Raw genomic sequence first — 26,577 nt, forward strand, 5'->3', positions numbered from 1 at the left:
CAGCCCTGAGCGCACCCAGGAGGTGGCCCAGAGCAGCTGTGTGTCTGGGAGGTGAGCACTTCAGAGATACCCTCCTGCCAGGCGTCCTCCCCAGGGTGGGCTTCCTGCCGTGGCAGACAGCAGATGTCGGGGGAGGCAGGGAAGGCCAGGCTCTCCCACGCACACCGGCTGCCATCTGGGCAGCAGGAGGGGGCCGGCAGAGCCCCTGAGACTTGCCTCGGGCTGGGACAGCCATTCGCCTGGGCCGGCAGCCAGTCTGGGGGCTGGGAACTTGGCCGGCAGAGCTGCCCTTGACCCCTGCATCCTGGAGCATGGATGGGAGCTAGGTAGGCCAGGGAAGGGGGAACCAGGAGTATGTGAAGCTGGGAGCCCCAGAAGTGCTGAATAGAGCTCAAGGCTCGGGGAGACAAACACAGGGCCCGGGAGGGGAAAACTGCCGCAGAGGGTTGAGGCTGGGTTGGACAAAGGGCTTCTAGCTCCTGTGTGCAGAGGGCGAGGAGAGGGTGCCAACCAGCCTGCTGATGAGGAGAGGCCAGAGAGCACTGAAGGAGGGCGCGTGTCAGCTCTGAACTGAGGGACGTGGGGCAAAGGGCCTGTTAATCCCTCAGGGTATCCCCAACGGAGTCCTGGTCTATAACAGGCCTGCCAAGGAAAGAGGAAGAGCACACACTGGGATCCCGCAATAACAGGGCAGGGCTCCTGTGTTCATCTCTCTCCCCTGAGGGGCACAAGCTGGGTACCTTACCTGTGAAACACACGGGGCATTTGAAGGTGCCGCCCATGCCCTCGAAGCTGTGCTCAATGAGGTGACAGAGGAGCTTGGCCGGGGAGTCGAACATCTGGTTGCACAGCTTACACTCGTGGTTGATGCCTTCCTCTGCAAGGAAAACCCGTGACCAGTCAGTGACCAGCATGCCATGTCCCCCAGACAGGTGCTCACAAGGCCTCCCATAGACCCCAGCACTAACCCCCCTCCAATCCCCAGCACCGGGGCTGGTGAAGGGACTGCAGACACCAAGACTCATCCTGGCTCCACATGGCCTCACCCCTAGAGGCTTACAGACCCCAGAGGACCGGCTCCAAATATGTGGCCCTTGGAGGTGCCATTTGCTGTGATTTCTCCTGCTGATCAAGCAGCCAGGTGTGCAGGCCATGGTCAACAGCTTGAGTCCCAAGACTGGGTCACTGTGCAGAGGCACCCAGGATGAGGTACAGGATGGAGAAGGTGGTCCAACCAGGATTTTAAAAAATCCAATCAAATATTTATTGAGCATGTACTATGTGCCAGGTACTTTGCTCTAAGGATTATTTAGGCAACTAAACAAATAATGTCTCTGCCCCCACTCTGGTGGTGGGGTAGACAGATGATAAACAAAATCATCAGCACATAATGCAGTGTCAGGAGGTGATGTGAATACATGGCGAGAGCACTCTAGGAGAGGGGTGGGGGCAGGGCCCTGAGGTGGGTCCATGCCATGCTGGACAGGCTTGAAGCCCAGCATGGGAACACAGTGCCTGAGCTCAGAGGGCCAAGAGTGAGGTCAGAGAGGCCACAGGGATGCACAAGAAAAGCCCTGTCAGCCCCTGGAGGACTTTGGAATTTTACTTCGAGACTGACGGGCAGCATGGAAGATACTGCACCAAACGCTCTTTTTATTTGCTTTTCTTTTAAACAAATGGTCTATGCAGTGGATGATGGACAACAGGCAAACTCGCCATCCTGCTTCAGACCAGAACACAGCTCCTCCATCTCCCCACCTGGGAGCCGCTGAGACCCCAAACCTTCACCCAAAGGCGCCGGGGGACACAGAGTGCCTGAGCACCAGCCTTGCCAATGTCGAGGAGGCTCAGAGCTCTGGTGCCCTCACTCACAATCAAGCAGCAGCAGGTTCAAATTCTGGCTCCTCAGCCCCACACAGCATGCTGTGGGCACAAGCTCATGTGCAGTAAGATGGGGACCACCTGTCCTCCCTGCTTCCCGGGCTGCAGGAGGACAGAGGGGCCCAGGGGTCAGTGGTGGGGATGGGGAATCCCCTGGTTTGAGCTTCACATCACCTGGGGTTGGAATCCGTCCCTCCCCTTACTGGGTGATCTTAGGCAAGTCACACAACCTCTCTGTACCTCAGTTTCCTCTGTCTGAAACACTCCATAACAGCTTTTCTGTTATAGTTGCTATGAGAATTAAATGAGCTAATACATGCACAGGGGTCTGGAACAGACCCTGGCACACAGCAAGTGCTCAATAAGTGTTTACTGCCAGGCATGTCAGTGTTGGTGAGAGTATTATCTGGGACAGCCAAGGACACGGGTTCCCCTTTGGGCTCCCCCAGGGAACCAGCCTCACTGAAGGCGCCAGGTGCTCTGATTTGCCCTTAAAGGCAAGAATTAGGTAGCAGAGGGGTTCTGCTGGTGGCAAGACATGAACACAGATGGGCTGAGGCTCCTGGCGAGTCCCTGGGTCCCTAGGCCCTGGCAGGGGCTGGCAGAGACAGCAGGCATTCCCCCTGGCCCAGCCATCCCCCGCACCCCCGGGCACCCCACCGCAGAGGCGCACACACACACGTGCACACACAGGTGGGTCTGCCCCACATAGCCCACTGGCTGGAATCTACCGGGTGTTTGTCATGCCCCTGGAGCCCTGGCAACTAGGCCACATACACCCGACAGAGACTCAAACAGATCTTCCATTTATACTAGCAGAAAAGGAATTCATTGACAAGTTTTGGGACACAGGGCAGGCTCAGCACGCTCGCCCTGCAGGCCCCACGCACGTCCTCCACCTCCCTTGGGGAGACGTTCATCATAATTAGAGATGGCCTCCAGTGTGGGGGGCTGCCTCAAAAGACCCCCCAATGCATCCCCTGCCCCCTGCACAAACAACATTGCCCAGTGCCTGGCACAGGGTGTAGGATCAAGGAAAGAAAGAGACTCCACCCTTACATGTGACCTTATTAGAATGAGGACACCCCGTGGACATTAAGGAGGGAGGGGGTATGTGAGGTTGACAACTGTGCAGAGTTTTCTGTAAGAATAGTTTATAACATATTTCAATCTCAGAAATAACCCAGCTTACTTGGAAAACTGCATTTCTGGGAAGAAGAAATGGGTTCGGAGAATTAGACCATTTACTCAAGTAACACAGCCAGATGGGGGCGGTGCAGAAGAGGATACAAAACCTTTCCTATATGCATGTACCCCCGCCATCGTACACCACCGCCAGGCAGCCTGCCCTGACTTGTACCCCTCATTGTACATGACCTCCAGGCAGCCTGCCCTGACTATTCCAGTTCATGAGCACACACACGTGTGCATGCACACACACACACACGACTACTCCCTCACTAGGCACAATGACCCTTGATTCATGTAACCATGTGAGATTTTCTGGGCTTGCCTGCAGGAGGGGCTTGGAAATACTCACAGAGGAGAGACGTCCCCAGGCTGGGCCCTCTCTCCCTGCCCAGCTAGGGGCTCTGGGGGCTGAGACGGCAAACAGGATTTACCGCTCTCTGCCGAGCGGGGGCCTTTAACCACTTGGCTGTGAATGGCGACGGGCCCATCTGATACACAAACACCGAGAGGACAAAGAAGCCTCCTGCAACTTATAAATCAGAGAAATCATGTCTGACAGTCACTTTCCGTTCTCCGAGTGCCGAGCAATTCATCAGCTGGTCCCCCCTGATTCATAGCCGCAGCTACACCCAGCGCCCATGTTCATAAATATGTGCACAGTCAGGCAGCCCTGGAGCTGCAAGCCGTCCGGGGCCCAAACGGCTACCATTTAAGCAGATCACAGCCCCAAACCAGTGTCAAAGTAAGGTTCCAGGCTAATTAGATCAAGAGCCCAACAGACCACTGTGTGTCTCGGGACCCTTTCCTCTCTCTCCCCCAAGTGTTTTAAGAGAGTCAAACCTGGGGAAAGAGGGGAGGAGAAATAAAACAAGCAAAAAGTGAAAGTGAAGGGAGGGGATGGAATAAAGCCTGAAGGGTTCCCGCAGAGCTGGGACTCGCTCCCACTCAAGGCAAGACCTTTTGATTTGCAAATCTTTCTGAAGACGAGGCCTTCTCCCCACTGGAGGGGTTAGAGGTACTCCCTTGGGTGTCCATTACGTGTATCTCTGCCTATGAAACCATCCAGGAAAACAGGGGGAGGGCCGGGGAGGTGGAGAGGGCGGGGAGGGGCTGCCCTAGTTAGTGTGACAAACACTCCTTTGCGTGCTGGTGACCCAATGTGAGCCAGCCCATGGATATTGATAGAATTTGCTAGCACCATCACTCTCACCCCGCAGGCGCTGACAACCTCTCGTTCCACCCCAAGATGCAGGGTCCGCCGATAGTGGCACCCTCCGAGAATCACTTTCCTGAATTATATAAGATCGCACAGTGCTCGGCCGACACCTTGGAGCAGAATGACAAAGCTGTCTGGGAGCCTGCAGGCCCCTCCACCCCAGCGTGGGGACTGGAGGATTTTGTGAGTTAAGACGCACAATTGCTTCCCTTCCTTTTCTGTGCCTTTTTTTTTTTTAATAGCACATGACAGGCATCCATAAGACAGACCCACACAACTCAAGTGAATTATGCAGCCCCGCTCATTTGTAAAGTGAAATGCAGATTTCACCTGCTGAAATTCAGATCTTGCCTCCTGTTCCCCATAAGTCGAGGCTGGCACAAGGAAATCTATTGATTTATTATGATTAAAAAAAATAAAAATAAATAAAAACTCAAACTGCCAAACAAACAACCCGCCAAGCAGGAAAATCCCAAAGTCCCTGTCTCTCCTTTCTCCCTCCTCTGCTCAGGAATAAGTGTTAATTTTACACTTCATTTCTCAAAAAAATAATAGGATGTGCTTTTGCTTAAAACCAAGTCAGCCTGCTGGAACCTTTCAGGCTGAAACTGTGTCAGCCCAAAAGAGGAGCAGAGGGCTTTGTGGAAGAGCATCGTGCCGAGATGATAGCTCCCTGTAATGTCCCTGGTACCGACTTTTGTCTCCAAAAGCATTTGATCCCTGGCAGACACATACTTATTTCCATACGGGTCTTGGGGGAAGCCAGGAGGAGAGAGAGCTGATTATCAGAATCCTGAAGGTGAAGCTCAGGTGGGCCCCACTGATGTCAAAGGCAGGCCTGGGCACACATTCGGAGGCCATAATTTGCTGCCTGGGAGGGAGGAGCGGCGGGCTGCAGCGGGGTGTGGACGGGGCATTGTTCTCGGGCTCTGGTGCACTGAGCGTGACCTGCTCCAGCCACAACGGATAGTCCCTGCCTACCCCCTCTCTTAGCAGGAACCCCCCTCGGGAAAGCTGACCCCAGAGTGGCATCATTAATGCACACACCTGTCTAGGAGAAGACCAATGACTTCCGCCTGGTGTTGACTAGGGGCATGACTAGCCACCTACATCCAGGATGTGGCAATGAAGGACACAAAAGCTAGAGCCGGGAACACTTGGGTTTGAGCCCTAGTTCCACCACTCACTCGCTGTGTGGACTGGAGTAAGTTACTTTGCCTCTCTGAGCTTCTGCTTCTGCCACTAGAAAATAGGCAGAGTCATTACGGGGCTTTTGTATGGCAGCCAAGCAGTCTTATTTGGCCACAGGACATCTGCCCTTGCTGAGACCCCCAGACCATCCCACACTCCTTCCCTCACTACACTCAGGGGTCTGCCTAAAGGACACCTCCTCAGGGAGGCCTTACTCGAGACCCCCATCTAACACAGCACACACCCCCGTCCTTTCCAGCACCTGGCCCACCTTTAATTCCTGGATAGCGCTTACTACCACCTGGTATATTACAGGGTTCATTGTTTAATTCATTCTCATTCCCTCCGTCCCTCCCTCCCTCCGGCACACAGACAGAGTAACATAAACTCCATGAGGGCTGCTTTGCCCACTGCTATGTCACCAGTGCCTAGAACAGGATCTGGCACCAGGAGACGCTTGACGAGCAGGAAATGAATGATTTATGTAAAGCACTTAGCACAGAGTTTGCGGTAGGGTGGGAGTGCTGGTAAATGCCATCACTATGCACCCATGGTCACCCCTAATCTCACAGGACTCGGCTTGTAAAAACCTCAACTCCAGTAACGCTTTCTGGAACCCCACGGAACAACAGCCTGCTCCAAGACTGAGGGCGTGGAGAGGCTCCCTCAGCTGACAGAAGAGGAAGGGACGCTTAGAGAGGCAGGGCCCCTAACAGGGATGTGGCAGGGCAGAGCAGGGCAGAGCGGGGCAGCAGCAGCCCTGCTGTTCACCCCCAGCAGCCCTCTCTGGCTTTAGAAAATTCAAGAAACAGCCACAAGACCTAAAACCTGGGACCCAGCAAGCCACCCCTGCTCCCTGATCACCCAAAAAAATCCTGGTCAGAAGGAAGACAGAGCCGCCCTCCGCATCTCCATGTTTGAGCCTGGGGGGTCCCCTCGCCAGCACAAGCGCCGGTTGGCAGCAGGGCTGGGGCTTTCCCTGAGGAAGGGGAGGAGGTAGCCCTGCATGTGACAGCGTGGGACAGTCCAGGCTGCACCTCCTCTCTCCAAGAGTGTGTCTGCAGGTGGAAGCAAGGCAGGGAATACACAGGCTGCTTGGCCAAGCTGCGGCCCCTCCACTACCAGCCCCAGAAATAAATGCCCCAGACTGACATTCCACAGCACCAGGGACAGCCTGCGGCCTGCGCATCTAGTATCAGGTCAAGTCCTGAGGTCCTGGGGCTCAGACACACACACTGTAAATGGGCGCGGTAAATGGTCCTTGGAGAGAGGAAGCATGGGAGCAAAGGCCCCAGCACTCATCCAGGCAAATCTTGCCAGGAGGCAAGAGGGTGAGGTGAGGGTGACCCCAGGAGAGGACCCCTCCGACACCATCCCCATAGATAACCACAAATAGCGCAGAACAGGAGCTAGGAACCTGAGCTGTGGGAGACTCTGTCCTTTGTTTCCTGTAAGAAACAAAGACCCCCAGGCAGAAAGAGGAGGGCAGGTGATAATATCTGGGCAGCCAGATTGGGCCGTTTATCTATTGATCTGTCATTAAATGCCATGAAGAAATTAACCAGTCCAGGCTGAAGGGAAGGAGAGAGTGACATTTAGGCTGGGAGTCAACCAGGGTCATAGGAGAACTCAGGGTCTGAGGAGTGTCCCTTGTCAAAGGCTGGGCAAGAGCTGGGAGCAGGTGAGTGGTGATGGAGGATGACCATGGGAGCCCCAACACCCCCAGCTCTGGCAGCCCACGGGAACCCACTTCCCTGCCAAGCAGCCCGGGCAGCACCTGGGAGCTTGAGAGAAATGCAGAGTCTCAGGCCTGCCCCAGAGCTGCAGCATTTTAAAGGTGCCCCCGTGTTTGGGGCGTCCATTAACGCTTGAGAACCACTGAGCGCGATACAAGGGGCTTAGGGACGCTGATATTGTTGGAATCCTGCTGTCCCGAAGCTGGGTTTGGGAGCTGTCCCACTGCTTTGACCAATATTCTATGTGGAAGGATCTCTTAAAAGGCAGGAAGTTTTCTAGTCACTTTTTGTCCACATTTTGCAAAAGACTGAAAAATCGTCAGCAATGAAAAATATTTCCTGTGGTTACTCCTGGGATGGAAATGATGCGAGTATATCTTTGAAGAGGCTGCTGGAGACTCTGACGGTGGGTGGCTAACACTCCCCCAAACCATCCCCGCATCACGGCTGTCCCCGACCCCCAGTGCCAGGGGCTCTCCACCCTTCGGTGTCCTCCTCACTCAAGACCGCTCAGCCATGGCTTGAAGGCACAGCCCACCACGCTGCTCCCATTTTGGGCTCACATTTTCCTAATTAATGCTGGAGGATGGGCTGTGCCCTTCCTCCTCCCCCTGGGGGCACCCTCCCAGGCCATTCTGCCCAGAAGGGACCCATCGTATGGTCCCCTGTGTTTCACAAAGGCTTCTAAATGAGCTCTGGCAGCCTGAACCGGGCCCCACGGGGGACCCAGAGCCTCTTCAAAACAGAGCCCTGACAATTAGGCAGTCTGAGTTTTGAAAGGCTTGGGATTGATGGTGTGGACAGTAAAAACATCACCTGGGGAGCTGGGTGTAGTCCTCCGAGGGTTGCCTGAGGTCAGTTGCCATGGCAACGGAGAATGAGCTCAACCTTGTAACTGACCCTTATCTTTTTTTGATCTGTGGGCCACTTGGGGCCAGGGCTTGAAATCAACTGGAAAATAATCCGGTCACATATCAGAAAGAAAACTATTTATACTTATTTACCCAGGTACCCACCAACGTCCCCCTTCCACAATGCTGTCGACACCGCAATAAACCGACATCGCATGTGCAAACGAACGCTACCCCATGGCAGGAGAAAGGGGGAGACCGAATGCCCCATCTGGGTAGAATGCCAATTCCACGCATGGGCACGTGGGTGTGGGTGGGAAGGGTCACCCCCCACCCTGCAGCCTCGCCCTTCATCGCTACTGACCACAGCAAGACTGGACTCTCCTGCCTTCCAGCATCTGGTCCAGGCCCACCAAGGGACGGCCTCTGCGATCTGCCCTCTCGCTTGCTATGCAGGCATGTGGTTTCAGCCTGGCTTGATCACTAGGTTGTCTTCCTTGATTCCAGCATCTGACAAGTCTCCCCTCTGCCAGAGGCTGGACAGAGAGGCCAGGTGGAAGTTCATCACTTTCTACACCTGGGGGTCGCAATGGGATTCGGGGAACGAAGGCTAAGAAAGGAGGAGGACAGAGGCCTTCCTTCCTGGTCCCACACCCGAGGAAGGGCTGGCTGCCTCAACCACCCCAGCATTCACCCCAGGGTTTCCATGGCAAGATCGGCCATCTGGCCAAAGCCTGTCTCCAGGACACAGCTCTCCTAAGTTATAAGTACTTTGCTCGCTCTCTCCTTCTCTGAAACTCAAATCAGAAGACTCCAGATGGTTCCACTGACCAACTGCTCCCAAGAGCCATGTCAGATGGATCTTAGCTAGGGGTCAGTTAAGCTTGAGAATGATTTCTGGTAAACTCCCTGTGAGATTTCCCATCACAGCAAACAGGACAGCTCAGCGGACGGCCCCCGACTAGCCCTTGTTTCATCAAGACTAGATCCTTCAGGGAGTGGGGAAAAACATGGCCAAGAACCAGGCTGCGCGGAGGAGAATCCTGGCTCTGCTGCAGATGCCCAGGGTGACACTGGGCCAAGCGCTTCCCTCTGTGTCTCAGTCTCTGACTGTGAAATGGGGAGAAGGTTGTCCACCTCACAGGGCTGTTATGAGAGTAAATGAGAGCCAAGTAAAGAATATGAAGCATGACCCCCGGCACAGTGGCTTACACCTGTAATTCCAGGACTTTGGGAGGCCGAAGCAGGAAGATTGCTTGACCCCAGGAGCTTGAGACCAGCCTGGACAACACAGTGAGACCCCATCTCTACAAAAAAGGAAAAAATTAGCCAGGCATGGTGGTGGGTGGTACACTGAGGCAGGAAGATGTCTTCAGCCCAGGACTTTGAGGTTACATTGAGCTATGAACCATTGCACCCCAGCCAGCCTGGGTGATGGAGGGAGACTCTGTCTCTTAACAAGAGCACAAAAAATTTTTAAAATTAAAAAAAAATTAAAGAATACTGATCATAATGCTACCACCACAACTATTACTGCTATTGTTACTTCTCCTTCTTTTTTTTTGTTTTTTTTTTTTTGTTTGCTTTTGAGACCGAGTTTCACTCTTGTTGCCCAGCTGGAGTGCCATGGCACGTTCTCAGCTCACTGCAACCTCCATCTCCTGGGCTCAAGCGATTCCCCTGCCTTAGCCGCCCAAGTAGGTGGGACTACAGGCGCACACCACCACACACAGCTAATTTTGTATTTTTAGTAGAGATGGGGTTTCACCATGTTGGTCAGGCTGGTCTCGAACTCCTGACCTCAGGTGATCTGCCTGCCTTGGCCTCCCAAAGTGCTGGGATTACAGGAGTGAGCTACCACGCCCAGCCTGCCATTGTCACTTCTGACATGACTCTACCTGAAACTCCATGCTCAGGCCTGGTGACATGGCACATACAAACCCGCTGTGGGGGCCATCAAGGCAATAGAACCCTGCTCCTCTTTCAGGGCATATGGCCAGCCATGTCCATGCCCCTACCCCAGTAAATGTTTAAAGACCCTTAGCACCTGGGACATTGTGTGTTCTCTCATGGCACGTCCTATGCTACTTCCACCTTCAAAATGCTTCTGTGTCAGCTTTCTTCATCTCCCTCCTCCTCTACCTCCACACCACTCCCATATTTGCGATGGCGAAACTCGTGTCCAGATTTTAAGCCCTTTTGTTCCCTTGTGGCTCGCTGCAGCTTCCTACTTCGGGCCATATGAGTTGACTTTGCCTCCCCTCTGATGCTCTTGGACCCAAGTTTCCCATTTCTTTATGGTTCTTCTTGCTTCTCTCTCTTGAAATTCCCTGAGATTTTCATGAAGGTCAGAGCAGGGCCTGACTGAGTCAGGGGCGTGATCAGCTGCATGCACCCCCCAACCCCTTGGCCCTTGGCCAGCCCTTCCCCATAGCTGGGCCCATGCAGAAATCTCCCTAACCTGAAAGGCCTCAGAGCCCAAAAACCGCAGAGATCGGGGCCCAGCCTGGATGGGATTACCAGTGGAGGCTCCTTCCAGCTCTGAGAGCTGATTCCACACTGCCAGGGAGCTAGCACTGAGGTGCAAGCAGCCCTGGGTGGTTAAGGAGAACATCACCATCACAGAGGGTCCTGCTTGCTAACTTCCTATGACGCTGGCGGACACATCCACCTCCCGCCTCTCTGAGTGATCAGCAATTGCTCAGAGACACATCATTAGCAGACACATCCAAATCCCGGCTCTTTGAGCGATCAGCAATCATGACGGGTGGTCTTTGGCAAAAGAAAAGACAAAGATCAGGTCCCGGACATAACACCAAGAGACAGGAGGTAACTATCTCAGCTTCTTAATAGAAAGAGAATGGATGTCTGAGTGATGAAATAAACCACACACAAGAGAACAAGCGGGACTTCACTGAGAACCGAGGAAAGAGAACTCTTGGAGTTCTATACAACTCAGAACTTCTCTGCCTGCACATTTTCAGAAGGCATTCCACAGCCCTCCTCACACACATCCCCTTTTACCTGTAAAGAACTGAAGGCTGATCACCTCAGAAAATGAAGATTCCACTACATCCTGGGGATCCACTAGGTAAAAGCAAGTAGCTTATTCTTTCTTAACTCATCAAACACCTACTGATGTATATCACTGATCTTCAGATTAAAGTTTTCAACAAGACGATTGCCTAAACATCCATCATGTTAATAATCCTCAGATTAATGGCCTCTAATAATACACAATTAACATGACAGGCAGGTTGCAAAACCCTTATTGTCACCGACCCTGCCAGGGACACATGAATTACCCCTGCTTCTACTACAAGGGTTTTCTCTACTGCCGACATCATTTTTTGTCCCCACCAAGATCATTTTTTAAAATGAGCAACAGCAATGTGTCAAAAAGCCTGACAGTTACCAACGGGCACACACAAACACAACACACACCTGCAGAATGCAAGAAAGCAACATTTTTCAAAAGTTCCCCATCCAGGTAAATACAGACAGAACTTTTCCTGCAGTTACTAGTACTCAAAGCAAAAAACCCCCAGAGTTCAGCTTGGAAACTGGAATTCACCACTTTCTCAAAGTCCACCTTGACCTGGGTCACTGGACACCACCCTCCAGCTGAAAAAAATAAACAATGAGACTAGAAAATAATGACTGACTTCTATTGAAAAGCTTTAAAAAGTAGATCCACACTGTCAATCTAGTAGTTACTGGCCACCTGTGGCTCTTTAGTTTCTGGGTGGTTTTTTTTTTTTTTTTTGGTTTTTTTTCTGGGACAGGGTCTCACTGTTTGCCCAGCCTGGAGTGCCATAGTATGATCACAGCTTAGTGCAGCTTCAAACTTCTGGGCTCAAGAGATCTTGCTGCCTCAGACTCCTGAGCAGCTGGGACTGCCAGAGTGCACCACCAGACCTGGCTAGATTTTTAGTAGAGATGGGATCTTGCTATCTTTCCCAGGCTGGTCTCACACTCCTGGCCTCAAATCCCAAAGTGCTGGGATTACAGGTATGAGCCACTGTGCCCAGCCTGTGGCTATTTAAATTTAAATTAAAGTTGAATATATTTAAACATTCAGTTCCTCAGTTGCAATAGCTAATGTGGCCAGTGACTACCACTCTGGGTAGTACAGAATATTTCCATCATTTTAGAAACTTCATTTGGAAAGCATTGTGTTAGAATACAGGCAAGGTGAGGGCAGGGGCTCTCCCTGTCTTATTCAACACTGTAATCCCAGAACCTACAACAGCGTTGGGCACATAACAAGTGATTAACAAATATTTATTGAACTGTGGAATGTGAGTGTCAAATATTATGAAGAACACCTCAGCCCTTTTGCTGTTAGCACTTGCTTGCAATTGCAATTGCCCTGCCTGAGAAACCACTTAGATGTGAACTTCTCCAACGTTCAACATAAACCTACACCCTGATAATTATGTGGGCACTTTGCCCAAAGTGGGTAAGAATATGACGAACACAGGAACACTGCAGAGCCATGAAGTTTCTCTGAAGGATGTAACCCAAATACCATAACTTTGAACCAACAAGTCATATGGTGGATCAATAGCACCTGGGCTCCTAACCAGTCAAGAAGCCCACCGGCCACAGCACTACTGAGTTGCCTTTTAAGCCGGCTGAGCCCTGTGGCTCATCGAGGAAATAAATGCTTGGATTTCTGATGCTGAGCTAAGTGGTCTGTGTGATTTCTCAGCTCTGCTTCTGCAGGCTATGTCTCAGAGAGCCGGGTTTTTGCTGTGACCCAAGTAAAATGAAAATTGAAGCTAAATTGGAAATTCAAACGCAACATGGAATAAATGAATACATTCAAATCAATGATACTCCTTCCAAGTAGTCACATGATTGCGACGCTAATACCAGTATTGGGTCTACTCTGGGGAAGCGGGTCTTTCTTCAGTTCGGCTGAAAAGTCACCCAAGATAGCGAGGCTTATGGTCACAGTGCACAGGGCCCTCAAAAGGTCTTTTCTGAGGTCACGTCTTCCTCTCAAGTCTACTCACCTCTCCCCTTCCTTCACTCGCTCCCCTAACAAAATACCACCTTCTTGAGGCCAAGCCCAGTGCTCGGCCTTTCTCTCTTCAACAGACCCAGGACTGAGATCAAATGAGGCCGATGGGATGCCCCAAGCTCACATTAGCTTGTTGATGTGTTCAGCTCCCAGAGCTGAGCCCTCCCATACCATTTTCTCAGATGGTGTGGGCCCAGCACACAGGGACCAGATGGGGGGTCTGCCACCTCTGGGCGGCTTAGACCCCATTGCCAGCTCCCAGAGCCCAGCCAGCCCTCCTGTCTGCCCTTGGCTGTGCCTCCCACCTGCCAAGCAGGTGCCTGCAGCCTAAGGTCTGGGCTGATCCCATCCAGCAGCCACTCCTGACCCACAGAGGCAGAGCTTACTGACAGCTCCTGACAGCCCCCACCAGGAGAGGCAGGGACAGGCAGAGGGGGACTGGGCAGGTAAAGAATGGGCTCATTGCTGAGCAGCAGGGGAGTGGGGGTGGAGGCCACCTCCACACAGCCTCCAACTCTCCAGCGAGGTGCAGCGAGCAGAACAGCTGCCATTAGCTGTGATGAGATGTGAGCAGTGCCAGGCCCACACACCATAGCAGGAAAACGCCCCACCGTACAGCTCTGGCTGGCATCTTGCCTTTTTCCTACTTGGAAAAGACATCTTCATAGACACCTTCATCAAAAAGCACATGCGACAGACACCTGGCAATTCACCCTTTGCTCTCCGCTCCTGGCCCCACCTCATCATGACTGCTCCAGCCTCACCCCCTGCCACATTCAGACACACTGCCTGGATAATCCTCCCCAGGCTCCACAGCCATCATTTCCCTCTCCTGCTCAAGAACCTGCAGTGGCTCCCTTTTTCCCAGTGCAAAGCTGCACTCTTCTGCCAGGTGGCCCTGGCCCTGCCTACCTAACACCCCTACTTTTGGCCGCACCCAGCTTCCTCCTGGCCCAAGGGCTGCACTCACAGGGCCTCACTCATTCCTGAGGGTTAGGGCTAGGGTTAGGTTACGGATTCTGTACCCTTATTCAAGTAGCTCTCGATGCCTTGCCTCTGTCCTCCAGGCCACAATTTTCCAAAAAGGAGTTTTCGTTGCACCCAAGTTATTCATAGCTATGTGAAATAAAAAGGTAGCTTTCAAAACATTCCTTCTCTTTGCTTAAGCTAACTTGATTTTCTGTCAACTTCCAACCAAAACAATCCTGGCTAATACATTATCTGAGGATGAAAAAGCAATTCTTTCACTTTTCTGGTATTTCTTACAGAGCCAGACAAACACGAGGTGCTCAATAAATGCTAATAGTTTGCTGTGCACATGTGTGTCCATCTCTTGATCATGTCCCGTGGGAAGAGAGGTGTCATCCCTATAGACCATGCCCTTCAGTGGCAGCAGGCACAGGTCCCTCACACTGTCCCCTGATGGATAGAGTCCTGCCTCAACTACACCCCCCACGGCTCTGGACACCAGCCCTGGAGCATTCAGGTCCAGGTCTCAACACCATCCCAAATGCAGGAACCCAGACATGTGGCTCTGGGTCCACAGATGCCACTCTTCATGTCCGGGAGCAAGGCTTGCTCTGTGGGGGTGACGCGGTGGGGCTGCATCTTCCCGGGAACCCCATACCACCTCAGCCACCATGCCATTCTCAGGGCTGGACATACCCCCTCATTTGCTCATCGGCTGCATTCAGCTATAGCTTTCTGGTGGCACAGCACATGAACAGAAGTGCAGCCTCGGAGTCAGATTGCACAGGTTCAAATCTCCCACCACCATCCACTAGCAGTGGGATCCTGGAACCCCACCTCCCCGGGCCAATGTTCCCCACCATGTAAAATGAGAATGATTGTAGTGCCTACATCATAACTGTTGGGAGATGAACAGGCTTAATAGCTTGAGTTATTAATATCACTGTCATGGTTATTATTGACCCTGAGGCAGGCACTGTGCAAGGTGGTGGGTGTGGGGGGTGTGAGTGTAACAGAGACCAGTGAGACACTGTCACACCCAGCTTGCTTAGGAGGAGTCTGGGAGGCCTGGCCAAGGGACATACTTTGTGTGAAAACACAGTCGCCCAGAAATCCTAAAAAAAAAACAAAACCAAGTCCTTTGGGACCCCAGAGTGGGGAAGCAGAGCTCCAGGGGAAATGCCATGGACGTCTGGGCTGGCAGGAGTTGGAGGCCCAGCAGCTCAGCCCCGCCTGTGCCAGAGCTGTCTGTCCTGCCTCTGTCATGCCACAGAACAGCCTCAGTGACCCAGGGCCCAGGATGCAGGAGCCGCTCTAAGAGGGCAGGCAGAAGGGCAGAGAGGACCAGTGAGAGGGGCCAATGTTCTGGTGCCACTGAAGGGCTTGGTCTAGAGGGGTGATACCTCCCTTCCTACTGGACATGACCAAGAGGCAGACACACACATGCACAGCCTCTAGAATGCTGGCCTCAGCTGGGGAATCTAGCTCATAGTTCACTGCTCCAGAACCCATTTCAAGGTCCTGCATACTAAGGAATTTCCAGTAAGTACCTCCAGTCACAGCAAAGACTGTGGCCCTGAATCCCATCCACAATGTTTTTGTTTTGTTTTGTTTTGTTTCGTTCTGTTTTTAAGACAGGCTAGAGTGCAGTGGAGCAATCACAGATCACTGCAGTCTCCATCTCTCAGGCTCAGGCGATCCTCACACCTCAGAGCCCTGAGCAGCTGGGACCACAGGCACAGGCCACCATGCCCCACTCATTTTTTTTTTTCTTTTTTTGGTAGAGATGGGGCCTCACTATGTTACCCAGGCTGGCCTCAAACTTCTGGCCTCAAGCAATCCTTTCACCTCGGCCTCCCCATGTGCTTGGATTCCAGGCATGAGCCAATGCGCCTGGCCCACAATGTTAAACTCAGATTTTGGGGGAAAAAGCAAATCCAAAGCCGATTACTCTGCTTTCACCTCATGCTTTAATCACACCCTGAATGCACAAGGGCAGGACCTTAGTGACAATTTAGAATTCCAAAAGCCAGGGTTTAGTGAAGCCTGTTGAATCCCACTTCCAAAACAGACTGTGTCTCCAATCCATGCCTCCACACCCTCAGGTGGGGACCTGCACCCAGCCCTATCCTGGCCTCCATGTGGATGGCTCCCTTCTCCTCATCCAGAGCTGAGAAAAGTAGGAATCCAAGACACCATGGAGAGGGCTGTGCATGTGCTGGTGGAAACAAGCTCCAGCATGAAAATGGGGGTCCCAGTGGCCCTCTGTCTAGTTGACAACAGAAAACACCTCCCCAACTTCCCATGGCTGAGCCCCTCCTGCCAAGAGCAGGATGTCCTCAGAACCCGGCTGAAGAACTCAGCTCCACAGGCACACTCCCTGCTCACCTGCCCCTCATGTCTGCCCCATCAGGGACTCCCGCTCTCTGCACCCAGAACCTATGCTTCCCTCCCCTAGAACAGGTAGGGAGGAAGGATGGACCACCATCTCTCTCACACTGCTTAGGCATTTCCCAGCACCTAACAACCTGGCACACAGTGGCACTCAGCCAATGATTGCTCAATGGCAGGGGGCTTTCTAGAGACAAACAACATTTAGTCTCTGTCCACAGCCCTGTGGACCAGAGACAAACGTCTTCTCTAAAAAGGCAGACTAACAATCACTCAGACTAACAATCTCCCACTTCACCCACAATTAAGTGGAAATACACAAAACCAGGTAGTAAACACAATGCTATTTTGGTTAAGAAAGAAAAGTGAGGGAAAGAAGGGAATGACTATATTTGTGTGTGCTTGTGTGCGCTGAGAAACTTGCTGGAAGGACACACATTAAGGTGTTAGAGGGTCATCTCTGGAAGGCAGGATATGTTTTTCTTATTTTTGCTTGGCTGGATTTTCTGGTTTTCCTGCAATGAACATGTATAGCCTTTGTAATTTATATGGTTTGGCTCTGTGTCCCCACCTAAATCTCACCTTGAATTTTAATAACACCCACCTGTCAAGGGCGGGACCAGGTGGAGATAATTGAATCATGGGGGCAGTTCCCCCCATGCTGTTCTCATGACAGTGATTTCTCACGAGATCTGATGGTTTTATAAGGGGCTTCCCCCTATGCTTGGCTCTCATTCTTCTCTTTCCTGCTGCCATGTGAAGAAGGACATGTTTGCTTCCCCTTCTATCATGACTGTAAGTTTCCTGAGGCCTCCCCAGCCCTGCGGAACTGCAAGTCAATTAAACCTCTTTCCTTATAAAGTATCCAGTGTCAGGCAGTTCTCTACAGCAGCATGAGAGCGAAGTAATACACTACAATAAAAGCTTTTTAAAAATTTTAATCCACTGACTAGTGATGGAGACAATGTTGGTAATGACTAGGCCTAGGTCTCTCTATCTATAACTGGAAATGGTTGGACCAGAGAGCTCCACAGCCCCTCTCAGCCCCTGCCTTGCAGATCTTCAGACCAGAGATTCCCAGTGGCAGTGACTCTTCACTCAACAGCTCTTGCTGGGCTGAGGCCTCAGCAGATCTGCTTTCTGGTCCCTGCTGGGTCTCTGCCTTCATGGGGGCAAATTGCTCCCTCTGGCCTTGACTCTATTCCATCACCTGTCAAGTGGAATGGACAGGCCAATTTTCAAGCCCGGGCTCTGCCACTGAGTGTCCCGGTGGCCTCATCAGTAAAATGGGGATATAATTGTGCTTGATGCATAGGATTGAGTGATCCTATGCATTTGTAGAGCTTGGAGTGAATGCACCTGCTGGGCTGGTCCCTATGGATGGCCCTGAAAAGATGTGAGTCATCATCCACTCTCGTACCTCACACAGTGTTCTGTCCCATGTGAGCTGGAATGTGCCTGCTGTGACACATGGCCAGAAGGCCAGAGGCCAGGAGGTGTGAGGAGCTGGGAGGCGAGTCAGGGACAGATGCCAGGGAGGCCTGGGACCCCCCATGAGGAGGCTGCCACGTGATGGCTCCCATAGCCAGTTCAGACACTCTCAACAACCACTTTGTCTGGCTGGGTGCAGGCTGGGCCCCAGCCCACCCTGGGGAGGAGGCAGCTCCACAGGCTCACCCGGCCAGATGCCGCCTGCCCAGATCTGCGTCCTCCATGAGATTGAAGATGACAGGCTCTGGGGGTGGGGAGGAGCCAGGTCAGCGGAAACTTGGCAACGAGAAAGGCAAGAGGAGCAGCTGAGCTCAGAGCACCCCGTGGCCCCCACCCTTCCAAGGGTGCAGCGAGAGGTTCTGTCTGCAACCCCTCAAGTCCCCTAGTGGAGTGGAAATGTTCTTCATCTGAGGCTGGGGTCTGTTACCCCTTCCCAGCCTACCAGCTTCCAAAGAGACAGCAGAAAGTGATCCAAAGATCCAATATTTGTATTTTGAATGCTAATTTGACATAGAGGAGTGGGCATGGGGAGTGTTTATAATCAGCACTCCAATAAGCCCACAAATGACGCCAGTATTTTATAAGCTTGTTAGAAACAAATCACCCCCTCAGCTGATATTTACTTACTGATGAATCATAAAAGGGCTCAACACACAAAGAAAATCCAAAAAGAATGTCTTTCTTCATCCCATGTTCGGCAACAATGCTGGGAGCCTGGCCTGGGTAAGCCCAAGCAGCGGGCCTTCTCCAGCACCAGTCCTCAGCCCCCCAATCCCCACAGCCTCCCCAGGGGTGGCAAATCATCGGTGCCAGCCCCATCTCCGTGCCCACTCCCCACCACAGCCCCCACCCATCGACTGGCCTAATCTGAGGCTCAATTCAGCGCTCCAGAGGCAGCTCCGTCCTTCTGCTGCCCCCGGAGTCCTCTGCGGGAGCGGATCCAATCCAGCTAATTTGCATAATGATGAAGCCCTCCAGTGCGGGCTGGGTCTTAAGAGGGTTGGGAAGAAATATGCCCTGTCCTTTGGAGAGGCACACAGAAGGCTCAGTGCAGCCCGGGAGGAATGGGGCGCCTGGCGGGTGGGCGGGGGCAGCGTGGAACCCATCAGCTTCCCCGCCAAGGACAGCTCAGCCCTGTCGCCCGCTGAGCCTATGTCCAGCTGGCCCAACTGAGGAAGGACTGCCCAGGGCTGTAAACCAGTGGGAACTCAGGCACAGAGCGCCAGCTCCAGACGCAAGCCGGAGTCATATGACCCCGGTCACAGCGACCGCCACTCACGGGCTGGCTGACCTTGGGCAAGTCGCTGACCTCTCTGAATCTCAGTCTGCTGATCTGTAAAAACAGAGGGAGATCTACCCTACAGGGCTCTGTGAGGACCAGCAGAGGTGCCTATAAAGCACTGAGTAGAGTGGGCTGATAGAATGCAACAACTGTCAGCTGTTAAATTAACACCGTCATTAGTCTAATCCCTGTGGTACTGGGTCCATCCATGCACACATCCACCTGTCCATCTACCCATCCATCCATCCACCTATCTGTTTATTCAACAAATGCCAGGTATTGTGCTAAGCAGTCTGGAGAAGAGAGAATGAATTAGACACACCTGCCTTTAAATCACCTCTAGCAACAAAACGACAGTATGGTCCAGAGGTGAGGCCAGTGCTTGCCTTTGAGGGAGGCAATAGCAGGAAGGAGTGCAGGGAGCTACCAGAGGCCACTGGGTTCGACTTCTCGATCTGGATGTGTTCTATTTCTGCAAACTCATCAAGCTGTGCACTTAAGAGGTGTGCATCTCTCTGAACGTACGCTATACTTCAACAAAGTTTTAAAAAACCCTCACGTCTAATTAGGGAGGGAGATCAGCTGGGTATGCACATAAGCATTACACCAGGCAGGAAGGGGTCAGCTCCTTAAGAAGGGTGAATAAAATATTTGGGATGGGGGTCGAGGTAACACCAAGGGGGAAGAAACTTCCTCCGTGACAGGTGAGGATCACCTTAGCACATGTCTGGTGCATAGGTACCTACTGAATGGATGAGTGAATGAATAACTTCCTGAATGAGGTGGCCTTGGATGAACAGGCTGAGATGTGGAGGCAGAGAGGGCGTTCCAGGGGAGGGTGCTTGCAGGGGCTGAAGGCTTGGGAGGGTTTTCCTCACTGAGCCAGGTGCTGGCATGCAGCAGTGACCTGGGAGCCAGGGCTTTTGCCCTTGCTGGGCTCACAGTCTACAGGCATCAGACATCAAGACGTAACTCCAGGGGATCGCATCCTTCTTCTATTCTGCAGAAACTGAGCGCCCAAGCGCAGGGTGCAGCATTGGGTGCTGGTGATGTGCAGCAGAACAGGACAACAGGACCTCTGACCTCACAGTGTGACCAGAGGATCAGAGCTGAAGCGAAGCCAGCTTTACACAGTCACTTGCTCATCACAGTGGCACTATGGGGCCGGTGCCGTTATTATTCCCACTCCACACATGGAGAAAGTGACACTGGGTGAGGTAAAGTGATTGTCCCACGTGGCTGATCCAGGACCGAAATGCAACTCTTAACCTCTGCCAACAATGGCCCTTCCCCTTGGCCTCTACGGAACACTTTATCCCCAGGTCTGTTTCTCAGCCATGTGAGTAAGCTGGATGGAGGTGGCATTTTTCGTCCCATTCTGCAAGTTGGAACACTAAGCTTCTAAGTATCAAGTTGAAAAGATAGTAAGTGACAGAGGAAGTGAATCTCAGGGCCCTGACTCCTTGTCCAGTGCTCCTTCCCCTGCCCATTGCTGTTGGACAGGATAATGGGGACTGTCATGAAGAGGAGGCGCCGGGCAGGCTTGACAAGGGCAGCCCCATCACATCTCAACATGTGCAAGACTGGGCCTTGGCTGCCACATGACCATGCCACCCCATCAACCCTGCTCAGAGCCTGTGAGCTACACAGGTGTCATGCCCAGCCCTGCCAGCCAGGGTGACCCCCCACTCTAACTGTTCAGCACCGAGCCTCCGACAGAAAAGCAACCCCAGACTGCAGTGGTAGCTCATGCTGAAACAATTCTCCCAAGCTGCTTTAAATGGAGATTTTGCAGTTTGGGGTACAAAATTATTGTCCACGTCACATGGGGAGTGGGCAGAATGTATTTGCCTGTGCTGAGCCACAGTTCTGTCTCCCAAGCAAAGCTGAACAGACACTAGCCAAGACTGGGCTCGCTGAGTTAATAAAGATTAGCTCTCCTGGACTATCTTGGAGGCATTCAAGTGCTAACTACCTGCCAGGCATTCAGCTAAACACTTTACATCTGGGATGGGCTCATAAAATCTCTACGAGGAGGTCATGATCTTGTCCTCACTTTACAGTAAGTGACAGCGCCCAGGCCTTTCAACCACAGAGCTGTGCTCTTAACCCCAGGGCTGTGCTAACTTCCTTACCATTATTCATAATCGCCATTGGTAGCATAAGGATAGAGGCAATTAAATTCAACACTTAATTTCTGTTATGTGCAAAGCATAGAGCCAGGTGTTGGGAACATAAGCAGAATGAGAACTGACCTCTGTCTGCAAGAAGTTTCAGATTTTTATACCCACAAATGCAAGACATCTTTTCACTAAGGTTTTTTTTAATGATCAAGCACATTGCCCAGCATCTTGCACAATAAATGTCTTCTGACTACACAAACAAACAAAAGTTAACATTTTTTAAGGAGAACACATTTTCCTTCCCTACTGGCTGTTCTCAATTCCATTTCAACACCCCTCCATCCACTTAAACTGTGACTTTCTTCACTTCCAAACAGTACAAACGCTTTCATTAAGAAACTACTCGGTGGGGTGTCCTTGGGTAAGTTGGTGCCTTTTCTGAGCTCAGAGACCTCATTTGTGAAAGGAGGAGGTAGGATTTGATAACTCACAAGGTCACTCGGGGATAGAGTACTAGGATGTTAATGGCCAGTCCCCATCCTAACTGTAGAGGACTTTATCAGATAGTTGGCGGCTATAAAGGGATGAGCATGTGAGACTTCCATTACAAAGTTCAAGATTTAAACTCGAGGGCAAGACATCAGAAGGAGGCACTCATAGTGAGCGCGCACAGCAGCTGAAGCTATCCGTGGAAGCTCGAGATGTCATCAGGGGGCACAGAATTAAACGCCAAGGCTGAACCTTAATGCTTTTCGAATATTCCCTGCACTTCTTATCAGTCCCTATTGTCCTGTGCTCCTCAGCCCCACCCTGATCTGCTTGACCTCAAAGGTCATTGAGTTTGTGACCCCTGTGAAAGAGAATTCATTCTTCAAAGGCAAAGCAAGAGAGAAGAAAGAGCATAACATTTGTTAACTGGGGGACGTCAATGCCTGGTGCCTGGAAGCTGTGTGATCTTAGGATAGTCACCTAACTCCTCTGAGCCTCAGTTTTCTCACTGTCCAGAATGGACAAAAGTTTTATCTACTTGATACTCTTTCCAGAAAAAAAAAAAAAAACAATCAGCCAGCTTTCCCACACTTCCAATACCCTGCAGAAAGTTGTAAACTTTAGAGAAATCAACAAAGACCTGTGTATTAAGATAGGGAAAGCTATGTTGTAGTAACAACTCCCAAAATCTCAAGGGGTGCAATGGTTTATTTCTCATTTGCCCTTCACATCCATTGCAGGGGTTTCTGCTTGTGAAAAACACTCAGATGCTGAGAGTGCCCCAGGGAAAGAGAGAATGCTGAAAGGTCCCACTCTGTTGGTTAAAGGCTCCACTCACGGCTCTCTGGCCAGAATTAGCCACAAGGCTTCACCCAACACAAAGGGGCCACGATGCGTGATCCTCCCACATACCAAAAGACGACACTAAGGATACCACGTTAACAAGAAGAGCCATAAGGCTCAGCAGAGCACTCTAAGAATCTCAAGGGAGGAGTCAGGGACATAAGAAAAAAGATGAAACCTGAAAACTCAGGATGGTAACAAAGGTTCTCAGAGGATGTTTGCATTCATCAAGGCCCAGGAATGGTGGGGGTGAGCAGCTGGCAGCATGCTCTCCAACTCCCTGGGTCAGCTCCACAGTGGTGAGTGGGCCCTGGCGGGGAACCTCCAACCCCCACGCCCTCTTCTGAAGGCGGAGGGTGGCACGCTCCTTCCAGCACTCCACCACAGCCACCCAGCTCTCCAAAGAGCACAGCAGGTAAATGCTGGGCGTTGTCCTGGGGCTTCTCGCAAAAGTCGCTCTTGACGATAATGGCTTTAGGAGGCTATGCAACCACACGCCTGGCATCTGAAACATCATCTGAGGCCAGGTGTTGCATCTCTAATTAGGATGGGGATTTTTTTCACCCCACACAGAATTTACATAATTGGGAAGGAGGTTACAACGAGGACCATCCCCACCAATTGTGCGTTTTCCACGGCCTCCTTCCACTTTCCCTTGCACACCTCAAATTTAAGGCAGAAATGAATCGATTTGAATTTTTTGAAATTAATTATCATCATTGCCATGGAAAATGTATCTGCCACTTTCCCTGGGGAGTTGAGAGAGGAGGGGTGATCTCATGTGGAGGAGTGCTGGGAGTGCCACACATCACCCACTGTCCTCTTAAGGAAAAACCTCCACCTCACCCGACCTCACCCAGTGGGTCCTCCAAGCACCTCCCAGTTTGGTCTGAGCATTCTTCAGAATTTTTTTTAGCACCAAAATTAATGCTTTAAAATGTCACTTGCTACAGTAAAATTTATCAACATTATTATATACCATAGAAACTGCCATCCCAGACAAATGCACGACATTAAAATTTGGTCTAGAGCTCCCCAGAGGAAACGTTTGCTGCAATTTGTATAACAGTTTATATATTTATGCTATTTAATGGTACAAAGCAATAATTATGACTTCATTCACTGATAAGCAACGGCATTACATAAATCTGATGCGGATTTAGAACATGCCAGCTCTGACACCAGTGTACTAGTTGTAAATTATGTTGCCGTTAAAAAAAAAAATCCAAGCAAATATGAAGGAGCAGCAGGAAACTAATAATGCATCTCCAGCTGTTCCAGTTAACCTGCAAATGTGGCCATCTGCACCTCGGGAGAAAGAGAAGGGGAGAGAGACGGGGAAGGCGGAGCAGAGAGAAGGGAGAGAAGGAGACAGCCGCCTTCGGGGAAGCACAAAGCCTTCCCCTGACATCGAACCAATGACCTTGCTCCTCGCTGCCAGGCAAGCCGTGCCTGAACCAGGAAAAGTTTCCCAAGAGCGCTGGGTCCATTCTCCACTCCTCTGGCATCCACACCCGGACCCACACTCCTGCCCCTGGCCAGAAAGGTGGCCCCAGTGTCATCCCTCCTTTCCCTGCCTCTCTAGAGACTCATCTTGAACCTTCCAGTTCCTAGTTACTGCAACACTGGTCTGACCAGGCAGCTTCCTCTACAACTTCATTTCTTTCTTTCTCCTTTTCATTTTAACACAGGCCTATCTTGCATTTTTTTTCTTAAGTGGGATGAGTGGTGAAAAAAAGTAGTTATTGTCAGATGTGTGCCCACTTCAGATGGTTCAAAATGGAGCTACAGGGTTCAAAGACTCGAACTATTGAATGAAATGGAAATGCTCAGATGGTGGCAGATCACAGATCTGCATGTGAGGACTTCCACTGGGCTTTGGATTCCTGGGGCCGTGGGGCTCTTGGCTTTGCCTGGTGAATGGGGGGCAGGAGAGATGGTCTCGGGGCCACCAAAGACTGAGGGTGGGAACAGGCAGGAGCTGCAGGCTGGGGGTCTGGGCTGCAACTCAGGCCATGCCCCACCCTGCCTGCACCCCCCAGAGCAGACAAAGGTCCCATCCGGCCTCCAGCCAGATGGCAGGGAAGAGCTCTCACCAGGCAAGTGCATGATTCTGCTTAGGGGCATGGGCTCCCCTGTGAACCTCCCCACATCAGCTGCAGCTCCCTGGGACTGTCCCTGGGCCCAAAGAACGGAGGCACAGCAGACCCATTTCCTCTCCTCTCCTCCAGAGGTTGGCTGACCGAGAAGGTGACAGGTCTGGGACCACACCTCCTTCCCTAGGTAGAAGGGTGCATCTACAGCTTCAGCAACAGCAGCTAACATGGAGCATGGATTGTGTGCTAATGTGCTGAATACTTTACATAAATTCACACATCCGGTCCTTGTAACGTCCTTTTGTGCTGGGAACTACTGTTATTCCCATCTTACAGATAAGGAAACTGAGTCACAGAGAGATTATGTAACTTGCTCAAGATCAACCCAGCCAGTGAACTAACTACATTTCTGAACCGTAAGGCTTAGAAGAATGTTTATATAAGCTACTCTGTACTTTTCAAATATGTTTTGTTTTTTCCTTCTTTTTTTTTTTAGACACAGGTCTCATTCTGCTTCCCAGGCAGGAGTGCAGTGGTGCAATCACCGCTCGCTGCAGCCTCGACCTCACAGACTCAAGCGATCCTCCCACCTCAGCCTCCCAAGTAGCTGGGACCACAGGCACACGCCACCATGCACAGACAATCTTTTTCAATATGGACAGAGTCTTGCTATGTTGTCCAAGCTGGTCTCGAACTCCTGGCCTTAAGCAATCCTCCTACCGTGGCCTTCCAAAGTGCTGGGATTATAGGGATGAGCCACTGAGCCCAGCCTCAAATTGTTTAAACTGCAACCCACAGAAAGAAGCATATACATGATGACCTAGCTGCACATTAATACACATGGAAACCAAAGCAAGTTTCATGGAACCACGTGAGAGCTTACTCAGGAGGATGGATTCTGACATTACCCTTCCCTTTTCCCTTTTCGTCCATTCTCTTCCATTCTGTGTTCTGCTCCGCCCTACTGTTTCCTCTTTCATTTCGTTGGCTGTGGCTGCCTAAGTTGATTTCATGATTTGCTAATGGGTTGCAGCCTGCAATGTGGAAAACACTGCCTATTTCAATTCCCTCATTTTACAGAAGGAAAACTGAGGCTCGGAAAGAGAAGACTGCTTGGCCAAGGCCACACAAGTCTGTGGCCCAGCCAGAACCAAAGCCCAGGCCTCCAGCTCTCTTTCTACAAAACCTGCAGTCAACGCCAACCCTAAGCCTTTCCTGGGCCTACTCAGTGCCCCTTTCTAACCACACTGGGGATAACTGGGTCCTTGGCCATAGCGTGGGGACATCATTTGTGGATAAGGGACAGCCGTGGGAGCAAGGGACAGACAAGGGAATGTAGGTCTCCCCAAAGGGGCTCTCAACTCATGCCAGTAATGATTTTGGGGATGTGGCCGGCCCAACAAGTCTAGCTCTGAGGGCTGCTTGCCAACTGCCCCCAGCCTGCTGGGCAGAGCCCATGTGGTCACACACAGAGAAGGCGAGGCACTGCCTGCCTGGGAGTGACCTCCATCAGGGTGGGCCTCCCTTCGCAGGTACCTAGAGGGCCCCTTTGTGGCTGGGTTTGCAGGAAGCTGCTGGACCGATGAAGAGACAGAGGAGGAAACAGGTGATTCTCACAGGGCCACAGGCAGAATCAGCACCATCTCTCCCCACTCTCCCTTATCATCAGGTCCCAAACAGAAGAGCTATCTCTATGCCCCTTCCAGGTGGGCCCCCCACGGAAGGCCCTCAAGCTGGGACACTGGGAGGGATGTGTGTTCCCACCACCCTCCTTCCCACTCAAACTTCCTATCGTGTT

General features: G+C 51.7%; 1 protein-coding gene across 15 annotated transcripts in view, besides 5 other annotated features; it reads right to left on the minus strand.

Annotated features, from left to right (window-relative positions):
• The window catches only part of ZNF423 (zinc finger protein 423), a 371,756-nt gene that overhangs the window by 37,094 nt on the left and 308,085 nt on the right, over positions 1–26,577 (minus strand). For all 15 annotated transcript variants that reach the window (XM_047433809.1, NM_001379286.1, XM_047433808.1 and 12 more), the window contains one exon: positions 746–877. In XM_047433809.1, coding sequence (XP_047289765.1) covers positions 746–877 — 132 coding nt within the window. The remainder of the gene's footprint in view (positions 1–745; positions 878–26,577) is intronic.
• Positions 3,058–4,056: an enhancer, noted in NCBI's record as "H3K27ac-H3K4me1 hESC enhancer chr16:49561586-49562584 (GRCh37/hg19 assembly coordinates)". NCBI's record gives its function as "activates a minimal SCP1, AML or CMV promoter by ChIP-STARR-seq in naive H9 embryonic stem cells {active_cell/tissue: H9 hESC(naive)}" and the evidence as "EXISTENCE:reporter gene assay evidence [ECO:0000049][PMID:30033119]".
• Positions 13,669–14,169: an enhancer, noted in NCBI's record as "H3K4me1 hESC enhancer chr16:49572197-49572697 (GRCh37/hg19 assembly coordinates)". NCBI's record gives its function as "activates a minimal SCP1, AML or CMV promoter by ChIP-STARR-seq in naive H9 embryonic stem cells {active_cell/tissue: H9 hESC(naive)}" and the evidence as "EXISTENCE:reporter gene assay evidence [ECO:0000049][PMID:30033119]".
• Positions 14,206–14,706: an enhancer, noted in NCBI's record as "H3K4me1 hESC enhancer chr16:49572734-49573234 (GRCh37/hg19 assembly coordinates)". NCBI's record gives its function as "activates a minimal SCP1, AML or CMV promoter by ChIP-STARR-seq in naive H9 embryonic stem cells {active_cell/tissue: H9 hESC(naive)}" and the evidence as "EXISTENCE:reporter gene assay evidence [ECO:0000049][PMID:30033119]".
• Positions 23,604–24,416: an enhancer, noted in NCBI's record as "H3K4me1 hESC enhancer chr16:49582132-49582944 (GRCh37/hg19 assembly coordinates)". NCBI's record gives its function as "activates a minimal SCP1, AML or CMV promoter by ChIP-STARR-seq in primed H9 embryonic stem cells {active_cell/tissue: H9 hESC(primed)}" and the evidence as "EXISTENCE:reporter gene assay evidence [ECO:0000049][PMID:30033119]".
• Positions 24,417–25,228: an enhancer, noted in NCBI's record as "H3K4me1 hESC enhancer chr16:49582945-49583756 (GRCh37/hg19 assembly coordinates)". NCBI's record gives its function as "activates a minimal SCP1, AML or CMV promoter by ChIP-STARR-seq in primed H9 embryonic stem cells {active_cell/tissue: H9 hESC(primed)}" and the evidence as "EXISTENCE:reporter gene assay evidence [ECO:0000049][PMID:30033119]".

The sequence above is a fragment of the Homo sapiens genome, chromosome 16 (genome assembly GCF_000001405.40).
Source record: "Homo sapiens chromosome 16, GRCh38.p14 Primary Assembly".
Classification (NCBI taxonomy): Eukaryota; Metazoa; Chordata; class Mammalia; order Primates; family Hominidae; genus Homo; species Homo sapiens.